General features: G+C 55.8%; 1 protein-coding gene across 16 annotated transcripts in view, besides 2 other annotated features; it reads right to left on the bottom strand.

Moving 5' to 3' along the window:
• STARD3 (StAR related lipid transfer domain containing 3) overlaps positions 180 to 19,788 on the bottom strand; it is a 27,058-nt gene continuing 7,449 nt past the window's right edge. For 3 of the 16 annotated variants that reach the window (XM_047435162.1, XM_047435159.1, XM_047435163.1), the window contains exons 2-15: positions 10,631 to 10,900; positions 7,296 to 7,373; positions 6,529 to 6,606; positions 6,355 to 6,408; positions 5,859 to 5,976; positions 5,561 to 5,659; positions 5,275 to 5,330; positions 4,828 to 4,920; positions 4,108 to 4,170; positions 3,855 to 3,950; positions 3,492 to 3,571; positions 3,296 to 3,400; positions 2,014 to 2,130; positions 180 to 1,577 (exon numbers count right to left, since the gene is read on the bottom strand). In XM_047435162.1, the coding sequence (XP_047291118.1) occupies positions 1,328 to 1,577; positions 2,014 to 2,130; positions 3,296 to 3,400; positions 3,492 to 3,571; positions 3,855 to 3,950; positions 4,108 to 4,170; positions 4,828 to 4,920; positions 5,275 to 5,330; positions 5,561 to 5,659; positions 5,859 to 5,976; positions 6,355 to 6,408; positions 6,529 to 6,606; positions 7,296 to 7,373; positions 10,631 to 10,849 (1,506 nt within the window). In that variant the 5' untranslated portion in view covers positions 10,850 to 10,900 and the 3' untranslated portion in view covers positions 180 to 1,327. Of the gene's footprint in view, positions 1,578 to 2,013; positions 2,131 to 3,295; positions 3,401 to 3,491; positions 3,572 to 3,854; positions 3,951 to 4,107; positions 4,222 to 4,827; positions 4,921 to 5,274; positions 5,331 to 5,560; positions 5,673 to 5,858; positions 5,977 to 6,354; positions 6,409 to 6,528; positions 6,607 to 7,295; positions 7,374 to 10,630; positions 10,901 to 11,185; positions 11,269 to 19,788 lie in introns of those variants that run through there. The other 13 variants (XM_047435165.1, NM_006804.4, XM_047435160.1 and 10 more) reach the window with 12 other exon arrangements.
• Positions 5,290 to 6,165: an enhancer, noted in NCBI's record as "H3K4me1 hESC enhancer chr17:37814469-37815344 (GRCh37/hg19 assembly coordinates)". NCBI's record gives its function as "activates a minimal SCP1, AML or CMV promoter by ChIP-STARR-seq in naive H9 embryonic stem cells {active_cell/tissue: H9 hESC(naive)}" and the evidence as "EXISTENCE:reporter gene assay evidence [ECO:0000049][PMID:30033119]".
• Positions 9,818 to 10,379: an enhancer, noted in NCBI's record as "H3K27ac-H3K4me1 hESC enhancer chr17:37810255-37810816 (GRCh37/hg19 assembly coordinates)". NCBI's record gives its function as "activates a minimal SCP1, AML or CMV promoter by ChIP-STARR-seq in naive H9 embryonic stem cells {active_cell/tissue: H9 hESC(naive)}" and the evidence as "EXISTENCE:reporter gene assay evidence [ECO:0000049][PMID:30033119]".

Below are 19,788 nucleotides of genomic sequence, written 5' to 3'. Positions count from 1 at the left end.
CAAGAGGCTGGCAGACAGGTGGTGGGTGTGGGGGGATGAGGAGTGAGAACACTGCCGAGTGGACAAAGGGTGGCAGGAGAGGCAGTGACAGGGGCTGAGCTGAGGACCCTGTGGGGACGGCAGAGTACCCAGGAGCACGTGGGTGCAGAACTGCAGACTATTGATTACTGAGCACTGTCCCCGGTTCTTCATATCTTTTAATCTCATAACAACCCTGTGACATCAGTCCCATTTTCATAAAGTGGGAAGCAGAAGCTGAGAGAGGTAGATTCGCCCAGGGTCACACACCTAGGCAGGACCGAAACAGGATCCACCTGGCTCTGAAGAAGCTGGCTCTGCTGGAAGCCTGCATGCAGGCAGGCAAGGGGGCAGGCCAGCCGGGAGGGAGGAGGAAGGCAGGCAGTGGCCTGGCCCCGCCCTGCGATCCGGGCTCCAGGCCGCCCCTGGTGTGAGTGCCGTGCGGGGAGAGGGAATGGGTGAGTGGAGTCTGGGAGGTCCGGGGCTCCAGGTGGCCTGGATCCCAGAGGTGCCTCAGTGACCCTGAAGCTCAGGCCCCATCTCCAGGCCACACAGTCAAGGCTTGCTGTGGGCACTGCCAGGTGCCCATACCCCCACCTCCATTCCTGGACTAGAGACTTTAAACTTGCCCCGCTGAAGCCTGGCAGGGGGCGGGGCATTTTTTTCTGACCAGTCATCTGCTCAGTTGAACTGGTCAGGAAAGCGGGGAGTGGGGGGTGGGCGGGGGGGGAATGGGGGGCATGTTTCAGGAACTGGCTCCCCGGGCTCCGCCCTCCTGTGAGCCCAGGAGAGGCTGTGTGAGGGGTCTTCCCTCTTCATCCAAGCTGCTGCCTGCCTTTCTCTTCCCTCAAGAGGCAAGGCAGTGGGAGGGGCTGGAATTTTTTTTTTTTTTTAAATTCATGTTTTTAATTGGCTTAATACAAAGGTCCCCCAGGAGGCCCTGGGAGGAGGGGGACAGCCTGGGAGAGGCAGAGATTCATGGCCAGCAGCCCACCCCCACCTGCCACCCACTCCCCAACAAGGGTCCCAGACTCTTTCAATAATCCTAAAAAAACCGACGAGAGCGCAGGCAGATGAAGAGCCCCTTCATCTTCACACGGGTGACAGGCTGCCCTGCCCTGCCCAGGGCCCTGGTCCTCCCCAGCCAAGTCAGGTGCCCAGCCCAGACCCTGCCCTGGCAAGGTGGGGCAGAGCAATCTGGTCCTCCAGGAGGCAGGGCGCCATGTAAACATCAACAGGCCAGACCCCACTTCCTCCAGCCAGTGGGGCCCCGGAGTCCAGTGCTCCACCCCACAGCCTGCTCAGTCAGTCAACTCCAGGCACTGCGTGGCTCGGTGGAGGGTGACAGCCTGGGGCCAGGTCCCATGTGGGCAGTGCGAGCCCAACTGGCACCCTTTCTGGCTCTGGAAGTGGTGGCGACAGGACCCTGGCCCGCAGGGTGGGAGGGGGCACAGTCACGCCCGGGCCCCCAGCTCGCTGATGCGCTGTCGCAGGTGAAAGGCAAATTCAAACATGGTGGCCGCGAGGCTCTGGTGGATGAGGTACCGGGGCAGGCGGCCCTGGGGGAAGGCAGGCAGAAGTCACACTTGATGGCCTGCCCTCAGCAGGGTCTCCCCTTGCAGCTGGCACCAGCAGGGGGGCTCTGGGCCAGAATGCAGGTGCAGCTCTGGAATCCAGCCTGGGTCGCCCTCTCCCACTCACCCCTGGCAGGAAGAACATGCTGGGCCTGGCTCTTGGCACCAGCAACACAAACAGACCAGGGTGGGGCCGGGCTGGCCACCAGCCACCCTTCCTCAGGGCCTCAGGACTCAGAGGTAAGAAGGGGGGGCACATGCCCTACAGCAACCCAGGGCTAAGAGACCATCTGGACCCTGACCCAAATTTTCAAGTAAGAAAGGTGGCTGACAAAGGGGAGGCCCAGGCATGGCAGAGAGCCCCCAAAGTCATGCAGCAACCAAGTCAGCAGCAGGGTCCCCTCCACTCCACAGAACCCACCTGGCAGCCCCCCAGCACCCCACCTTGAGATCTGTATTAAGAATCCAGACAAAGGTGCAAACACGGGGGTTACTGGCCGACTTGAGCACGATGAAGCCCCCAGGGCCATTCTCTCCCCTATGGAAAGAGGCATCATTGGGGGGACTTTGGAACAGAGTGAGGCCCTGACACCCCCCCGCAGCCCCTACCACTCACACTCCATTCTTGGCCCAGCTGGGACTGGGCTGGAAGCAGAAAGGCAGAGCTACCCTATCTGAACAAGGCTTAGCACAGGTGTCCCATGGGCTGCAGAATCGGCCCTCCACCCCCACCCACTCTGTGATGCTTGAATCCTCCTACAACGGCCTGTTGGTGCTTGCACACCCCCAGGGACAGAGAGCTCACCACCTTCCCAGCCCTCATACACTCTGTCCAGAGATTCTAGGTCAGCCCTGCTATGGCAGAGTAGGCTGGGCTGGCGCTTCTTACCCCTTCCCCTTCAGGAGGGGACACCTGCTCAGGAGAAGGCTAAGCCTGGGAGGCACGGTTCACATCCCATCACCATTTCATTCTCCCTCAGCTCCACTGAGCACACCTAAGCCCATTCTGCAGATAAGGAAGTTGGCATCCAGAGAGGAAGTGAGCTTCCCTGCACCCAGCAAGTCTGTCCAGTGCCCAAAGCAGAGCCTGGCATCCTATTCAAAGAACAGTGCTCCTGCTGGAACCCAGGAGGGGATGGGGAAGAGTGGGGTCTATGGGAGGGGGCCACCCGCAGCACCACAGCCTGACTGGACAAAAGGGAAGACTCCAGAAGCCCAGGCACAGATGCGGGAAGGCCATAATCCCTTTATCTTTGGGGGAACTCCTGAGCCACTCCAGAGAAAGATGACGGAGTGAGGACAGGGTGAGGAGGACGAAAGGGGACCCGAGTCTCCTTAGGCAGGAAGATGAAACCCAGAGCATAGAGCCTCCTGCTCAGGTCAATCAGCCCAGAGTGAGCACATGGCTCTCAGGCCCCTTCCCTGCACGGGTCCCCATCCATGGTCTACCCCAGCCAGCCACCGCCGCACATCCCGTCCAGCCTTGGTGGCTTGGTTCCAGCTGTCCACCACCCCCCATCTCCACAGACAGAGCAGCAAGATTAGCAGGATTAGTAGCCAGGAGGAGCAGAGCCCAGCGGGACAGGGAACAGGAACGCAGCCTCAGCAGGGGAAGTGCCCAGCTGTACATGCTGTACCCTGCACTGCTCAATGCTCCCAGGGGAGGGGCTGGCAGGGGTGACCCCAGGCAAAGTGAGGCTCACCGGACATATTTGTGCGTCGGGGGCTTGGCACTGTGTGAGGTGGCGATCCCTGATGACAAGTATCGGTCCCTGCGCCGCTCAATGCGCCGGACATTCACGAAGTCCCTGCGGGAGGGAGGGTTAGTTCAGGGGACAATGACCCAAGGCCAAAGTGCAGAAGACCTGGCTGAAAGGAGGGGGCCCGGCATGGACTCACCTTGGGGAGACCACGCCGCCCGCAGCCCCTGCAGACACGTCATAGGAGATGAGGGTGTTGTCTTCCACTCGCTGCAGGATCTGAGGGCCGTCAACGGAGACTTTTGGAACAGGTCGCCCCAGGAAAACCCCAGGGATGGGAACACCCCAGGCCCCTTTACTAACTGCTATTGCCACAGGCAGGCCCTGGGCAGCGCCTGATGAGCACTCCTCCTGCCCTCCTCCCGACCCTCCCGAGCAGGCACTGTTACCATCACACCCACTGTACAGATGGGGCAGCTGAGGCGCTGAGTGCTTCAGTGATCCCACTGAGGCGTGGCTGTGCCCCCATCTGTGCCTTAAGAGGCAGCCAGACTGGGCTCACCTGGCAGGCAGTCACTGTCTTGTTCCACAGCACCATCCTCTCGGGCTGCAGGATCACCTCCTGGTACACGAGCTCCGCAGGACAGGGCAGGAAGGTCTGGGACAGGGCGGCAGAGGGCTGGGTGGTGCCAGATGGGCTCGGGCAGACCAACCCTTCCCTCTTGGTGGGGGGCACCCACCAGAGGGCCCCTCGGCACCTTCCTGGAGCCTCCTGTGCTGTCTGGGGCTCCAGGACACCCGCTCCCCTCACTCACCTTCAGGATAAACGTCTTGCCGTGAAAGGGAACTTCAATGGTGTACACGGTGTCCCCATATTCCTATGGCAGGGACAGAAGGTGGCAGGGAGGAGAGTGGAGGCAGGGGGTGGGCTGGTGGCACAGAAATGGGTGACAGGCAGGGCAGGTTTTTAACAGCTCAGGGTGGAAAACTCCAGGAGTTTGGGGACACCTGAGCAGCTGTTACAAAACAGTAGCTCTAACAAACCTATGGCACTGGCAGGAGAGAGGCTTTTGATGTCGAGTTAAAAGACGGGGGGACAGCTGCAGCTGCAACCACAAAAAACCATGTCTCCAGGCCAATGGGGCTGCCACAAGAACTGGCCAGAGAGAGGGACTGGGGCATGTTGCTCTCTGTTTTCCAAGCTCTCTACGATCTTTGTAGATAATGTTGTTTTGATCATGAAACGAAACAACGGATGCAGAGCAGAAGCCTGGCTTCCCCTTCAAAGCCTGGAGCCAAGGGGGCAGAACAGCAGGGAAGTAAACATGGGGGGTGCGGGGAAGGGGGGCCAAGGGGCACGGGGGAAACGTCCAATCCAGCCCAGCCTCCTGCCGACCCGAGGGCCCAGCTCCCTCTCTTGGGGCAGGAATATGGCTCCAACCCATGTAATCTTTGGGTTTCTTCCTCAGGCCTCAGAAAAGAGAACAGAAACTCCTAACACGCATGGGAAGGTCAGGTGGGAGAGGGCTTCTTACATTATTCTTCTCAAACTTCCAGTTCTCTTCCTGGGCCAAGATCTGGTCCACCACTGCCGTGGCCTCCTTCCCCTGGCGGATGTACTCCCGCTCCTGGACGGAAGCAGGAGGCAGGGAGGGGTCAGCCTGGGGCCTGCAGTCCACCATGTTCGTGGCCTGTTCTCTCTCTAGACATACCACATGCTTCCCAGAGGGGCCTGGCCCAGCCACATGTGGGATCTGGGCTGGTCTCCCTGGGCCCTGCAGGCTTGTGGCTGCTCCACCTGTGTGCCCAGGCATGAGGCAGACCAGGGGGGCCGGACTGGTGGTGGGGGAGACACTCGGATGGGCATTGCCCGAGGTTCAGCCTCTACTGGGAAACCCCTGCCCACCCCGGCTGACCCCTGCACCCGCCCTCCTCCAGGCACCCATTCCAAGGGCAGGGGTTAGGGGTAGGCAGGCAAATACCTGAGCAGAGAAACTTTTCTTCCCAGCAACTTCTTCATCTGATTCATTGTCAGACCCTGCAGAAAACAGGCACAGATGACAATGGCAAGGGGTGGGGAGAGAGTGTGGGGAGGTAGTGGGGTTCGGGTATGTGAGTGCAAGGATGTGGGGGATAAAAGTGTGTGGGAGAGGGTTGCTGGCTTTCCCCAGGGAGCCTGATAGAAGGAATAGAAAGAACAGACCCAGCCTACCCCATTCCTCACAAGGCCCCTCCCTGAAAGCAGTTCCCCCACACACCAGCCCTCACCTGCAAAGGATTCTGGGGGTGAATAGAACTGTCCCTCGGACAGAGCACCGGAGAACAGCAGGGGTCCACGGGCAACAGCAACCTGGGCGGCAAGATACCCTGGAGGAGCAGACTCGGTCCCGGACCGAGGACAGTTACACCCTAGCAGCCTGGGGTACCCCCACCCAAGCTCCCCCTCAGGCTACTGGAGGCTGCTCAGAGGTGGCGAGATGCTTCAGACTGACTCTCATGCCCGCAACTCCCCTCTCTTGGGGCTGTGGGTAACCCTCGCTGCACCCCCCTACCCGCAAGCACTCACATCGCTCCTCTTCAGCTTCCTGGGGTAGGACTTTGAAGTCAAGGAACCAGGTCTCCAACCAGGCGAGGACAAAAGAGACGATGGGGAGCAGGTAGCCAAATGCCCCTTTGCTGAGCAGCTGTGAAGGGAGGGGGCTGAGCTCCATGGCAGGGGTCACCCCAAACCCAGAGCCCCCTTCTGTGGCTACCAACTCTAGCCAGCCAAACTGGCATACACCCCATTCCTGGTAGCAGCTGCTTGGGAACCCTCTCAAGTCTGCAGCAGGATAAACTGGGGTTAGGCTGGAGAAAGAACCTTCTGATTCCTAGAGCTGCAAGGGGCTAAGTCAGGGAAGCGGGTGAAGGATGATTCCTTATAGATACCAAAGGACAGGATTCCCTCTCCCCCTAACCCGGACAACAGGGACAGACACCCCAAATTAGAGAAATGCTCCTCTCTAGAAGCATACCACTCAGGTCTGATGCCCACCAGACTGGCCAGACCCTGAGCCACTGACCTCAGAGAGGATGACCTTGACAATGAGGAATGCACTGGACACCAGCGTCGTGACCTGCCCAGGGGAGGGAGGGAGGAAGGGGAAGGCAGAGGCTGGGAAGTGAGTCCTCCTCCATCCCATCCCTTCCACCAGCCCTGCCAGGGCCCAGAAGCTGCCAGGAAAGTGGCATCTTACCGCAATCACCCACCAGTGCCGGAGCCGCAGCACGGCATAGCCTAGGAGCAGTCCAGAGAAGCGGAAGAAGGCCAGGACCTGGTGGGGGACGGGAGCAAGGCAGTCACAGGAAGCTACTGCCCCCCACCCTGCTGCAGGCTGACCTCCCCTCTGGTCCTGCCCCCACGTTCCCTTCCTATGGGCATGCACACCTCAGGGGACAACGACTGAGTCAGCATGTCTCTGGGACAATTTGGATGTAACCTTGCACAGGGGTCTTATCTTCCCTCTCCCACCTGGGGCTCTCTGAAGGGGGCTTTGTGGAGGAAAGGTTTTTTTTTTTTTTTGAGACAGAGTCTCGCTCTGTCGCCCAGGCTGGAGTGCGGTGGCACGGTCTCAGCTCACTGCAACCTCCGCCTCCCAGGTTCAAGTGATTCTCCTGCCTCAGCCTCCCAAGTAGCTGGGATTATGGGTGCGAACCACCATGCTCAGCTAATTTTTTGTATTTTTAGTAGAGGCGGGGTTTCACCATGATGGCCAAGCTGGTTTCGAACTCCTAACCTCAAGTGATCCACCCACCTCAGCCTCCCAAGGTGCTAGGATTACAGGCGTGAGCCACTGCGCCCAGCCTTGTGGAGCAAAGGTTTTAATGACTGATGGCTCCCGAAGGATGGGAGCCGAGTCTCTGATCAGACTGGATATATGCTGCCAAAAGAGAACCCAGCAGAAGTCATTTCCCTGCTCCCTCTCTGCCTCCGGGGTCCCCAGGATCAGCCAAGGCCACTCACAAAGATGTCGAAGAAGGAAGTTTTAAAGTTGTACTGGATGATCTCCTGCTCCAAGTTCTTACGGATGCCTGTGTTGGTCTGTGAGAGGGAGACAGGAAGAGCTCTGCAGGTAGAAGCAAGGGCCTGGGGCTGCCCCTCACCTCCCGGAAGGGGCAAGAGGTAGGGGATGGAGGAACCTGGAGGGGAGGCTGTTGATGCTAAGCCACCACCCAGGGGGCCCTGGAAGCACCAAGGGATCTCAGCCCACGGCCAGAGACCTCAGGCACCAATACCAGTCCTCTAAGGATCCAGGCCGCCCCGATGGGCAGGGCTAGCTTCCAGCACCCTGCCCAGGAAGGGGCAGGCTTGGAGGCTTCGGGGCTGTGCAGGGGAGGCAATGCGCCCTATACAGGGCCAGCAGAAGGGCGCCGAAAGCCCACCTCTGACAGAATCCCATCTCCCTCCCAGCACTGCGGTGCTCCATCTTCCCAGCCATAATCCATCTGGGCTGATGGGGGGTGGGGGTGGGCAGTGGTGTCAGACGGAGCCTCAGGTGGCAAATCAATTGATTAGGTTTATGCTTAATGGGCAAAATCCATCACGCTGCTTGAGAGGGTGAAGTGGAGACGGAGTGGATGTGTCCTTGCCCCTGTCCCTACCCCAGCCCACCAGACATTTTCACCAGGACCCCTGAGGCCTTGGCCCTGACTCCAATGTCCAGAGGTTTGAGGGAACTGGATGGACACCAGGCCAGACTGCGACCTGACTCCTTGGAATGACGGGGGTGACGGGCCTAGGCTCCTTCAGGTGGGGCACCAGCCACCCTGGAGAAGGGAGGACACAGGGACTCTGGGCGATGGAGCCCAGGAGCCCTGGAGAGGAAGACCCCTCACAACCGCCTAGACTGGGGCTTCCGCTCTCCAGCAGGGCAGCCAAATCTGGGGGGGCTTGTTAAAGATACAGATGCTCCCCCACTGAGCACACAGCCCCACCATGTGCCTCTTCCTCAAGCCCACCCCAGCTCCATGAAATCTGATGCCACCTCTCCTCTGGCTGCCGGTGAGGCCCCCAGGCCTGCCACCCACCCACCCCATCCCACCCAACCCACACCACCCAGCACTCCTCTTGCTCCTCAGACTCTGCCCTGGGCTCTGCAGCCCCTTCCACCCTCAGTCACTAGGCCTCAGAGCTCTGTCCTCCTTCCTCTTTCCAGCCTGGGCACCCACCGGTGCTGACCGATCAGGACTCGGGAGAGCCAAGTCTCAGCCCCTGCTTTGCCACTCTCTGGCTCCAAACCCCCTGCTCAGCACGACCCTACTGAGTCCTTGTAACCACTGGGCAACACAGACACAGTCTGTCAGCGAACTAAAAATATATGCTCCCAAATACAAAAGTAAAACTACAAGACTGAAAATCAATACAATTTTAATTAAATGTCTGCCAAGGGAAACATCATGTGGACTCTACTAATTGTTCAGTGCAGGATTCTGAAATGTTTCATGACATCTGAAAACAATTAGTAAGTTAGATCTTCTCACTTTGCAAGAATTCCCAGGTACGCATGAGGACTGCAGAGCAATCGCAGCCAACACAGCCAAATAACTTCAAAAGCACAATTACAGAGGCCAGGCACAGTGGCTCATGCCTCTAATCCCAGCACTGTGAGAGGCCGAGATGGGAGGATCACTTGAGCCCAGGAGTTTGAGACCAGCCTGGGCAACATAGTGAGACTCCATCTCTACCAAAAAAAAAAAAAATAGCCAAATGTGGTCATGCACCTGTGGTCCCAGCTACTGGGGAGGCTGAGGTGGGAGGAACCCTTGAATCTAGGAGTTGGAGGCTACAGTGAGCTATGATCACATCACTGCACTCTAGCCTGGCCAATAGAGCAAGACCCTGTCTCAAAACAAAACAAAACGAAAGTAAAATTATCAAAATCTTTTCAGCTCTTTTTGGGTAAGGAAACAAGTATTCAATGAAGGATGCAGGTAAGTTTTAGTGTTTGCTTTGATGTTGGATGGGACCTTGAAAAGGAAGTCTGCCTAAGACCTTAGAAGCTCTGCAGAAGGTCCTGAGCCTGCTGGGCCACAGCTTTTTCATGGGTAAGATGGCCCCTAGGGCCATCCATGGCCATGGCTCCAGCTCACTGAAGGTGCCAGCTCATCTCTGGTGCACAATCGACAGTCACCCTCAGAGCCCTGTCTCTCCCTCCAGCTCAACATGCCCAGAATCAAACTTAATCTCTTTGCCCGGAGCTGGCCCCTTCTCTGAGCTCATCACCTCTATTAACAAGACATTGTTTTCTTGTCACATAAGCATGAGACCTGGAGGAAGGGCCCTTGCCATCCGGAAGTCTGATGGGGAGCCCATGCTGCAGAAGGAAAACGAGGGGAGGACTCAAGGGGCTGAGTCCCTTGCTGAGGTCATCGGGCCAAAGCCGAGGAGGAGCTGGGACAGAACTGAGCCTGGGGTGCCCTGCTTCCAGGGCTCCTGCTTATGTGGGCTTGGCCCTGCCTGGAGACCAGATCAGGCCACTGCCAACTAGACTGTGTTCCTGAGGGTGGGCCAAGCACTGCGTGGGGTGGGGGTGGGGCAGCTCTGGTCTCCAGGCTGCCCGGCAGCATCTCATTAGAGCCACTGGGAACTGGGAGTTTTTCCTGTTTTGCTTCCCACTGTGCCCTCTGCTTTTATTTACTTATTTATTTGAGTCAGGGTCTCACTCTGTCACTCAGGCTGGAATGCAGTGGTGCAATCATGGGTCACTGCAGCCTCAGACTTCTAGACTCAAGCAATCCTCCCACCTCAGACTCCCAAACGGCTGGGACAACAGGTGTGCACCACCACACCTGGCTAGCGTCTGGTTTTAGCACAGTGGTTGGGACACAGCAGAGACTCAAAAAATGTTTGCTGAATGAATGAATGAATGAATGAATGAATGATCGAACAAACGAATGAATGAACCAACTGGAGCCAGAGGGCAGTGGCAGGCAGAAAGAAGACAAAGGTTTCAACAGCTCTGCCAGAGCTGGGTCTCCCCCTCCTCCTCTCTCGGGAGCCTCCACTAGGGGGCAGTATGGGGCAGAGGCCAAGAGCATGAACTCAGCTGGAGGGTAGGTTCAAGGCCGTTGCCTTCACACACTTGGGTGCAGAGGGACCTTGGCCAAATGACACAACCCCTCCGAACCCCTCCACATTCCTTCATTCAGAATATGAGAACCCCTGTTGTTCCTCCCAGTCTTCATTTTACCCAGCTAACCAACCCCAGGGGAGAGGCAGCCCTCCCATGTGGCAGATGGACAAACTGAGGCCCGGGTGGCCTGCAACATGGCCTGTGCCCCCACCTCGCCCCCACTCACATTCAGTTCGATGATCCAGAGCAGGGAGATGAAGAGCAGGTCGAAGGTGACGAAGAGACAGAAGGTGCGGCGGACATCAGAGATGGCCCTTCGCTTCTCAGGCGGCGGAAGGAGGTGCGAGGAGAGGCTCTGGCTGTGGGACAGTGAGGAGCCCAGGGAGGCCACGGCAGGCAGGCTGCGCTCCAAGTCTCGGGTCAGCTCCCTGGGCAGCTTGCTCATCCTGGTGGGCCCCCACCTCAGGGCGGGGAGGGCGCGGCCTCAGCAGCAGGGCTGGGGGCGAGGCAGAGGCAGAGTCCTGTCAAACTCCTCCTGTCCCTCCCACACAGCCACCAGGGCCACCACTGGCTCCCAAACGCATTTGTCTCTACACTGGGTCCCAAGCCCAGGGCCCAGGGCACTGTTGCCCAAATGTCCTCCACCAGCCTGGCTCCCAGGCTGCAGGGTTGAGCATTCCGCTAATTATCTGTCCTCCTTCCTGGTGCTCCCTGCCCCAAGCCCAGCAGCCACAGGGTTCACCCCTGGAGGGCTCTGGGGTCCCTCTGCATGGGCACCTACCCCCTCCTGGATCCCTGGGGCTGTAGCCTGCTCCTACCAGGCCTAGCCCTGAGCTCCAGCCTCTGGTCCTGTCAACAGCCTCTGGGCCTGCCACCACCCCCAGGAGAAGAGGGCCCCAAGCTCTGTTCTTTGTTTTCCAAGCACAAAGCCACATTCCCTCCCAGCAGCCAGTCTTCCCCTCCCACCCCCTAATCCATGGCAACTGGGAGGGCCTTCCTAGAGCAGTGTCTGTGTGCTTGGAGCTATGGAGAGCAGGCATCTTGGTCCCTCTCAGCTCCACCACCCCTTGCCCTGCCTAGGTCCAACCACCACCATCTCTGCCTGGACCATGGCAATCTGCTTCTCACGGGTGGGCCTCCAGGCTGCCTCTCTCACCCTCCTGCTCTTCACATAGCCGGCCTAGAGAATGCGTTGCAATGCCCTCCCACGGTTTCCCACCCTTCTCAGGCTAACAGTCTCCTCACCAGGCCCTCTCAGTCCAGGCCTGCAGGTGGCCTCTGCCCAGCCCTTCTCTCTGTCTTGCTGCCACCGCCACTCTGGCCTTTTTTACATCCCTCAATACAGCTGCCCTGTCCTGCCTTGGGACCTTCGATCTGGCTCTCCCCATGCCTGGAATGTTCTCCCACAGACCCTTCAACAGGCAGCTCAAAAGTCCTCTCCTCAGAAAGCCTCCCACCCTCCTGCTCCAAATCACAGCATAACATGATAGTAAGCTGCCTTCCTTTCTTCAGTGAAGTGGGTCACTATCTGAAACGATCTTTATTGTTTTATTTCACTGTTTACCCTTCTCTCACTAGACTGTAAACTCCATGGCCTCACGGGCTTTATCTGACATGGTCACTGCTGTCTCCCTGGTGCCCAGCACAATGCCTGGCATGCAATAGGTGCTTTGTAATTGATTGTTGAATAAATGAATGCTCAGTAGGTCTCCTGGCCCTCAGCTCCATGCTACATAACAGACAGGAACAGGGCAAACCCTAAAGAGAGTAGGAAGCAGCCACTCTGGAGGCCAGCCCAGTGCTCTACCGCCCCCCACCCCATGCCCACAGATCCACACCCACGTTCACGTCCACTCAGGGCAGGGACGGTTCCTCTTCTTTTACAGATACGACAACCAAGGCCCAGAGAGGTGAATGGATTTACCCAATCCCTTACCATCCTGTGCCAGCATCGGGCTCTCAGGAACCCTAAAGACAAAAGGAACTCTGGCACTCCCTCCCTGCCATGTAGCCCCCAGGCCTACAGTCTCTGCCCCACCCATGTGCTGGGCTCTAAGAGGCCCCGTCCCTTGGGTGAGAAGGAAAGGTCCCACTGAAAGTCAGAGAGGAAGCCGGGCGCGGTGGCTCACACCTGTAATCCCAGCACTCTGGGAGGCGGGAGGTGGGTGGATCACAAGGTCAGGAGATCGAGACCATTCTGGCTAACACAGTGAAACCCGTCTCTACTAAAAATACAAAATAAAAAATTAGCCAGGCGTGGTGACCGGTGCCTGTAGTCCCAGCTATTCGAGAGGCTGAGGCAGAAGAATGGCGTGAACCCAGGAGGTGAAGCTTGCAGTGAGCCGAGATCACACCACTGCACTCCAGCCTGGGTGACAGAGCGAGACTCCGTCTCAAAAAAAAAAGAAAGTCAGAGGAGCTGAAGCGGGGAGGCAAAAACTCACCAGCTTGGTGGGGGCCTGAGCTTCTGGGACTTGACCAAGAGGCTCCCTGAGTCTCCCCACATCCCAGCACCAGGGAGTAGTTTGGGGTCTAGAGGAAGGGAAGCTCTAGATGTTTGTCCCTGATCTTGGGAGGCAAGATCTAACCACTCTCCCCTCCTGAGGTGTCCTGCCACACTTTCACTATGTGGACTACCTTCCTGGGCCCCTCAGTCTACCACGTCCAAAACAAGCGCAGCTCAGTTTGTGGCTGGCAGGAGGTTCTGAGCAAGCCAGCTCGTCCATCCCTCTGCCCCTGTGCAAGCCCCCACAAACAGGAACTGACTGTTTGCAGCAGAGTCGGAGGGCAGGTGAGGCAGAGGCACCAGGCCAAGGCTACTCCCAACACCACACTCTGAGCCCCATGACAGGTTCATCTCCACAGTGCTACGGAAAAGCTGGGCTCAGCTCTGGAAACAGGCGATGGGGAGGGGATGTGACAGGCCGCTGGCAATGGGATCCCCAACATCTATCAGCCAGATCTGTGCCAGACTGCATGCTCAGTGCATCCCTCATGGTGACAGGCCGCAGCTCCAGGGCAGGTGACATTTCCCTGCCTCTGACAGCCCTTTTGTTTGCAGCCAGACCTGTCTCCCTTCCTCACTCTCTCCATCTCTCCTCATCTTTTGTATCTGTTTCACAAAGTAACTTTCCATCTGTGTGGGGTTTTGTTTGTTTTTTTAGAGGCAGGGTCTTGCTCTGTCAACCAGGCTGGAGTGCAGTGGCACGATCATGGCTCACTGCAGCCTTCAACTTCTAAGCTCAAGCGATCCTCCTGCCTCAGCCTCCCAAGTAGCTGAGACCACAGGCGCCCGCCACCACACCAGGCTAATTCATTTTATTTTATTTTTTTTAGAGACGAGGGTCTCACTATGTTACCCAAGCTGGTCTCAAACTCCCTGGCTCAAGGATCCTCCTGTTTTGGCTTCCCCCAGTGTTGGGATTACAGGCGTGAGTCACTGCACCTGGCCTATTTCCTTTGTAATTATCTTTTTAGCTGTCTCCCTCTCCCTCTCCCATGTCTGCCATTTTGGGTTTGTTTGTTTGAAATCATGGACATTTATCATCTCACAGTTCAGGAGGCTGGAAGTCTGAGAAAGGTATTGGGAGGGCCGTGCTCCCTCTGACCCCTTCCTTGCCTCTTCCTGGCTCCTGACGGTGTGCGAGCAATCTGGCGTGACTCAGCTTGTAGCCACAAACGCCGACCGGTCTTCGCTGTCACATGGTGCTCTTCCCATGTGTCCGTCTTCACACTGCCATCTCCTGATACGGACACCAGTCATAATGGGCCCACCCTCCTCCAAGATGACCTCACCTTGACTGATCACATCTGCAATGACCCCAGTTCCAAATAAGATCACATTCTGAGGTAAAGGTGGTTAGGACTTCAACGTATCCTTTTTGCGGGGGACACGATTCAACCCCTAACAGTAACCTATCTTTTTTTTTAAGAGATGGGGTGTTCTTGAAGTCCTGGGCTCAAGCAATCCTCCCTTCTTGGTCTCCCAAAGTGCTGGGATTACACGTGTGAGCAGTAACTTACAGCTTTAGTGTCTGCTTTATCCTTTTTATATTTCTTTTGTATAAAGGAATATGCTTTCTTTGTATATCTTTTTTTTTTTTTTTTTTTTGAGACGGAGTCTCACTCTGTGGCCCAGGCTGGAGTGCAGTGGCGCGATCCCAGCTCACTGCAACCTCCACCTCCCAGGTTCAAGCGATTCTCCTGCCTCAGCCTCCCAAGTAGCCTGGATTACAGGCACGTGCCACCATGTCCAGCTAACTTTGTATTTTTAGTAGAGATGAGGTTTCACCATATTGGCCAGGCTGGTCTTGAATTCCCAACCTCAGGTGATCTGCCTGCCTTGGCCTCCCAAAGTGCTGGGATTACAGGCGTGAGCTACCACGCTCAGCCTTATATTTCTTATATCCTTTCTTTCTTACATGGACAGTAGCTTACTACAGATGGGCTCTTGCTTGTTATTTTTTCACTAAATAGTATATCCTGGTGAGCACTCCATGTCAGTTTTACATTGTCTTTCTCGTTCTTTGATAGAGATGCTTGGTACTCCATTTTATAGACAAACCATAGTTTATTCAGTCTCCCATGAATGAGCACTTAGATTTGTAATTCCAGAAATGCTGCAGTGAATAACCTTGAGCGCATATATATATTCCCGTTGTTGGAAATACATCTTCAAGACAGATTCCTAGAAGTGGTATTGCTGGGTCAAATTGCATATGTGGTTTTGTGAGGTATTGCCAAGTTCCCTTTGCAGTTTGCACTCCCACTAGCAATGTACAAGAATGCCTGTTTCCCCACAGCCCACAGAACATATCGTCATCCATGTCTGTCTTTATTTTTCCCCATCTGGGTCTTCCTCTCAATCTATCTCCCATTTATGAGTCTTTCTCTCCACTCCCATCAGTCTCTCCCACTTTCTCCACATTTCTCTCTCTCTTCTCTATCTGCCTCTCTCCTCCCTCCCTCCCTCCTTGGTCCTTGCCTCACTTCCAGGTGCTGTCGCTCGCCTACTCCAGTCTACTTCTGTGTCTGTCTGTCTTTCCCTCTGACTTTCTCTCTCCTTGGGGACAGGACTTGGATGGCAGCAGCTTGGGTGTGAGACGCACTTGGAGTGGCAACCACACTGACACTCACATGCCCAGACGTCCCTGTCGAAGCGAGAGACGCAGATGGGGCTAGAGCAGAGGTGTTGCGGGAGCCCGGGAGAGTTGAAATATGCCAGGGAGTGTGGGAGCCAAGCATGGGGGCTCGAAGGCAGGGGCGGGGACAGTTGGCCAAGAGTCAAAGAAAGGGGGTTTGATATCACCCTCCCACCGAAAGCAGCTCAAAGTCCAAATGACAGCCTGTACAGTAGGCAGAGCACTGGCCCAGAGTTAAGGAACCTGTACCCCAGTCTCCGGGCAACCAGTAATTCCGCCTAACTCTGGGCAAGTCCTTCTCACCAAGCCTCTGTTTATCTGGGGGAAAGTCAGTGGTTTTTTTCAATCATCTCCCTCTGCCTTTTTTTAAAGAGAGGATCTCACTCTGTCATCCAGGCTGGAGTCCAGAGGCGTGAACATGGCTCACTGTAGCTTTGACCTCCTGGGCTCAAGTGATCCTCCTGCCTCAGCCTCCCGAGTAACTGGGACCACAGGCACATGCCATTATGCTCAGCTAATTTTTATTTTTTTATTTTTTATTAATTTTTTGAGACGGAGTCTCACTCTGTCGCCCAGGCTGGAGTGCAGTGGCGCGATCTAGGCTCACTGCAAGCTCCGCCTCCTGGGTTCAAGCGATTCTCTCCTGCCTCAGCCTCCCGAGTAGCTGGGACTACAGGCGCCCACCACCACGCCTGGCTAATTTTTTGTATTTTTAGTGGAGATGGGGTTTCACCGTATTAGCTAGGATGGTCTCAATCTCCTGATCTCGTGATCCGCCCGCCTCAGCCTCCCAAAGTGCTGGGATTACAGGTGTGAGCCACCGCGGCCGGCCATGCTCAGCTAATTTTTAAATTTTTTGTAGAGACAAGGTCTATGTTGCCCAGGCTGGTCTTGAACTCCTGGGCTTAAGCGATCCTCCCACTTCAGCCTCCCAAAGTACTGGGATTACAGGCATGAGCCACCACACCCAGCTACAAACCACCTCCTTTGCAAAGCAAGAGAAACATTTAAAAGAGTAATACCTTACTTGGAACCTCAATATATAAAACAGATAAAAACCAGACTGCTATGGGTAAAAGCAGCTACTGAATCCCACCTGTCAGCCTTTCCTCAAACTCCAGCATCACCCTGAGTGAGGCCTCGTTGGCTAGGGTTTGAAAATGGGGCTCACTCAGATGACTTTGAAAGGCCTTTGAGCTCCATCAGACCACCTGCCAGTCTAAGTGATGAAAACCCACCGTGGCGTGGAACTGCCCTGTGCAGTCCCCAAAGTGCTCATTCTCTGGCTGACTGTAGGCTGCCTAGCCCTGGAGGCATCACAGCTAGCGCAGGCCTCCACCCACCACACCCACCCTCCTGATGAGGGGGAGGCAGGAATGGACAATTCAGAGACAGCCCAGCCCCCTGGGAGCAGCACCCCACCCACTGCCAAAAGAGCCCACTGGTTGCTGTGACTGGCCTCTCCCAAGCACCTTCAGAAGTGTCAGGAGGGGAACAGCACGTGTGGTGTGAAAGAGTCTGCCTGGGATGGCTGCAGACTTGACAGTCGAGTGTCTGCAGAAGCTGAACTGCTTGGGGAGGGAGTGAGAGTGGGAGGTAGGGGGGAAAGTGGAGGGTTTTTTTTTTTTTAACTTTTTTGAGACAGAGTCTCGCTCTGTCACCAGGCTGGAGTGCAGTGGCACGATCTCGGCTCACTGCAACCTCCGCCTCCCAGGTGCAAGCGATTCTCCTGCCTCAGCCTCCCAAGTAGAGGGGACTACAGGTGCCCGCCACCACGCCTGCCTATTTATGTATTTTTAGTAGAGATGGGGTTTCACCATGTTGGCCAGGATGGTCTCGATCTCTTGACCTTGTGATCCGCCCACCTCGGCCTCCCAAAGTGCTGGGATTATAGGCGTGAGCCACCACGCCGGGCAAAAGTGGAGGTTTTACCATCCTGGGTTAGAGGGGGAAGCGGGTGGGGAGGGGGGAAGTCAGGTGCCAGGGAACAGCGGATTATTCATGAGGCAAAGGGAAGGGGTGGGCACACGCCCCCACACCGCTTTCCAGGCCTTCTCTTCCTCACCCTAGGATACAATAGTACCAGCCCCACTTGTAATAGGGTTTTGGGTGGTGTCCTGGACTCAGGACAAACAGGAGGTGGCTGGTATCATGGAAAAAGGAATGGACTCTAAGGTCATGGTTCAAATCTCAGACTGTCCCCTTCCTAGCTGTGTGCTCTGGGGCAAAGCATAACCCTTCTGAGACTCAGTTTCCTCAGCTGCATTAAAACAGGCAACAATAGGCTGGGTGTGGTAGCTCAGGCCTGTAATCCCAGCACTTTGGGAGGCCAAGGAGGAAGGACTGCTTGAGCTCAGGAGTTCAAGAACAGTCTGGGCAACACAACAAAGCCCCGTCTCTACAAAAAATACAAAAATTTGCCAGGCGTGGTAACACACACCTGCAGTCCCAGCTACTCAGGAGCCTGAGGAGGAAGGATCACTTGAGCCGGGGAGGTGGAGGTTGCAGTGGGCTGAGACTGTGCCACTGCACTCAAGCCTGGGTGACAGAGAGAAACCCTGTCTCAAAACAAAAAACAACAAACAAAAGGTTAAAATGGTAAGTTTTATGTTATGTATATTTTACCATGACAAGAAAAGGCAAGAAGCCAGACACGGTGGCTCACACCTATAATCTCAGCACTTTGGGAGGCTGAGGCAGGTGATCACCTGAGGTCAGGAGTTTGAGACCAGCCTGGCCAACATGGCAAAACCCTGTCTCTACTAAAATTACAAAAAATAGCCGGGTGTGGTGGTGTGCACCTGTAGTCCCAACTACTTGGGAGGCTGAGGTGGGAGGATTGATTGAACCTGAGGGGCGAAGGTTGCAGTGAGCCAAGATCCCGCCACTGCATTCCAGTCTGGGTGACAGAGTGAGACTCCATCTCAAAAAAAAAAAAAAAAAAAAAAAAAAAAGGCAAGAATCCCTATGTCACAGGGATGGGTGTTGAGGTAGGTGTCAGGAGGGAGTATGGTAACCGCTTGGTCAGTGGTGGTTGAGATAGATTAAGTAGCTGGCAAGACTTTTCGGGTAAGATGGGGCTAGGAGCAGTGGCTCAGCCCTTTGGGAGGCTGAGGTGGGAGGATCCCTTGAGGTCAGGAGTTTGAGGCCAGCCTGGCCAACATGCTGAAACCTCGTCTCTACTAAACATACAAAAAAATTAGCCAGGCATGGTGGCGTGTGCCTGTAATCGCAGCTACTTGGGAGTATGAGGCAGGAGAATCATTTGAACCCGGGAAGCGGAGGTTGCAGTGAGCCGAGATCACACCATTGCACCCCCGCCCGGGTGACACAGTGAGACTCTGTCTCAAAAAAACAAAACAAAACAAAAACCTTTCAAGTAAGAGGGAAATTGTGAGCGAGGGAGGTTAAATACACTATAGTGACATGTAATAAAAATCACCCCAAAAGGCGTGGGTTCAAATCTGAACTCTACAATTCACCTGCTGTGTGGCTCAGAGCAAGCTCCCTAACCCTCTAGCCTGGTTCCTTCATCTATAGAAAGGCCAGGTTATCCAGCTGCAGGCAGAGGTGAATTCCAGGTTGGGGGAGGGGCAGGAAGTAGAGGACTGTCCTGGCTCCTGGCAGAGGCTCTTAGGGGAGTGCAGGGGCTGATCTCTACTCCTTCCTCTTGAGACCGGCCCCTCTGCAATTGCAAGCTCCCACCCAGGGAACAGCATCGGCTGCCCCTTCCCGCAGACAGAAGAGGAGGACAGCAGGATGGCTAAGCCGCCTCCCACTCACCCACCTCCAATTTTCAATTTCCACAAATCTCAGGCTGCAGAGCCACAGACAGGGTTCCTTGCTAGCCCTTCGTCATACCCCAGGCCAGAAGCTCCAGACACCTTTCTTCAGGGAGGCGGCTCCAAAGCCCAGCTGACCGACGGCAGCTCTCAGTAGGCGTTTCCTAGCCAAGGCAAGTCTGCGATTTTTTTTTTTTTTTTTGAGACTCTGTCGCCCATGCTGGAGTGCAGTGGTGTGATTACAGCTCATTGCAGCCTCAAACATTCCCTGGCTCAAGTGATCTTCCTGCCTCAGCCTCCTGAGTAGCTGGGACTACAGGCAGATGCCACCATGCCAGGCTAATTTTTCTTTTCTTTTCTTCTTCTTTTTTTTTTTTTTTTGTAGAGACAGGGTCTCACTATGTTGCCCAGGCTGGTGTCAAACTCCTGGACTCAAGCAATCTCCCCGCCTTGGCCTCCCA

The sequence above is a fragment of the Homo sapiens genome, chromosome 17, assembly GCF_000001405.40.
Source record: "Homo sapiens chromosome 17, GRCh38.p14 Primary Assembly".
Lineage (NCBI taxonomy): Eukaryota > Metazoa > Chordata > Mammalia > Primates > Hominidae > Homo > Homo sapiens.
The sequence above is the reverse complement of the archived record's forward strand: the minus strand, read 5'-3'. Positions and strand labels throughout refer to the sequence as shown.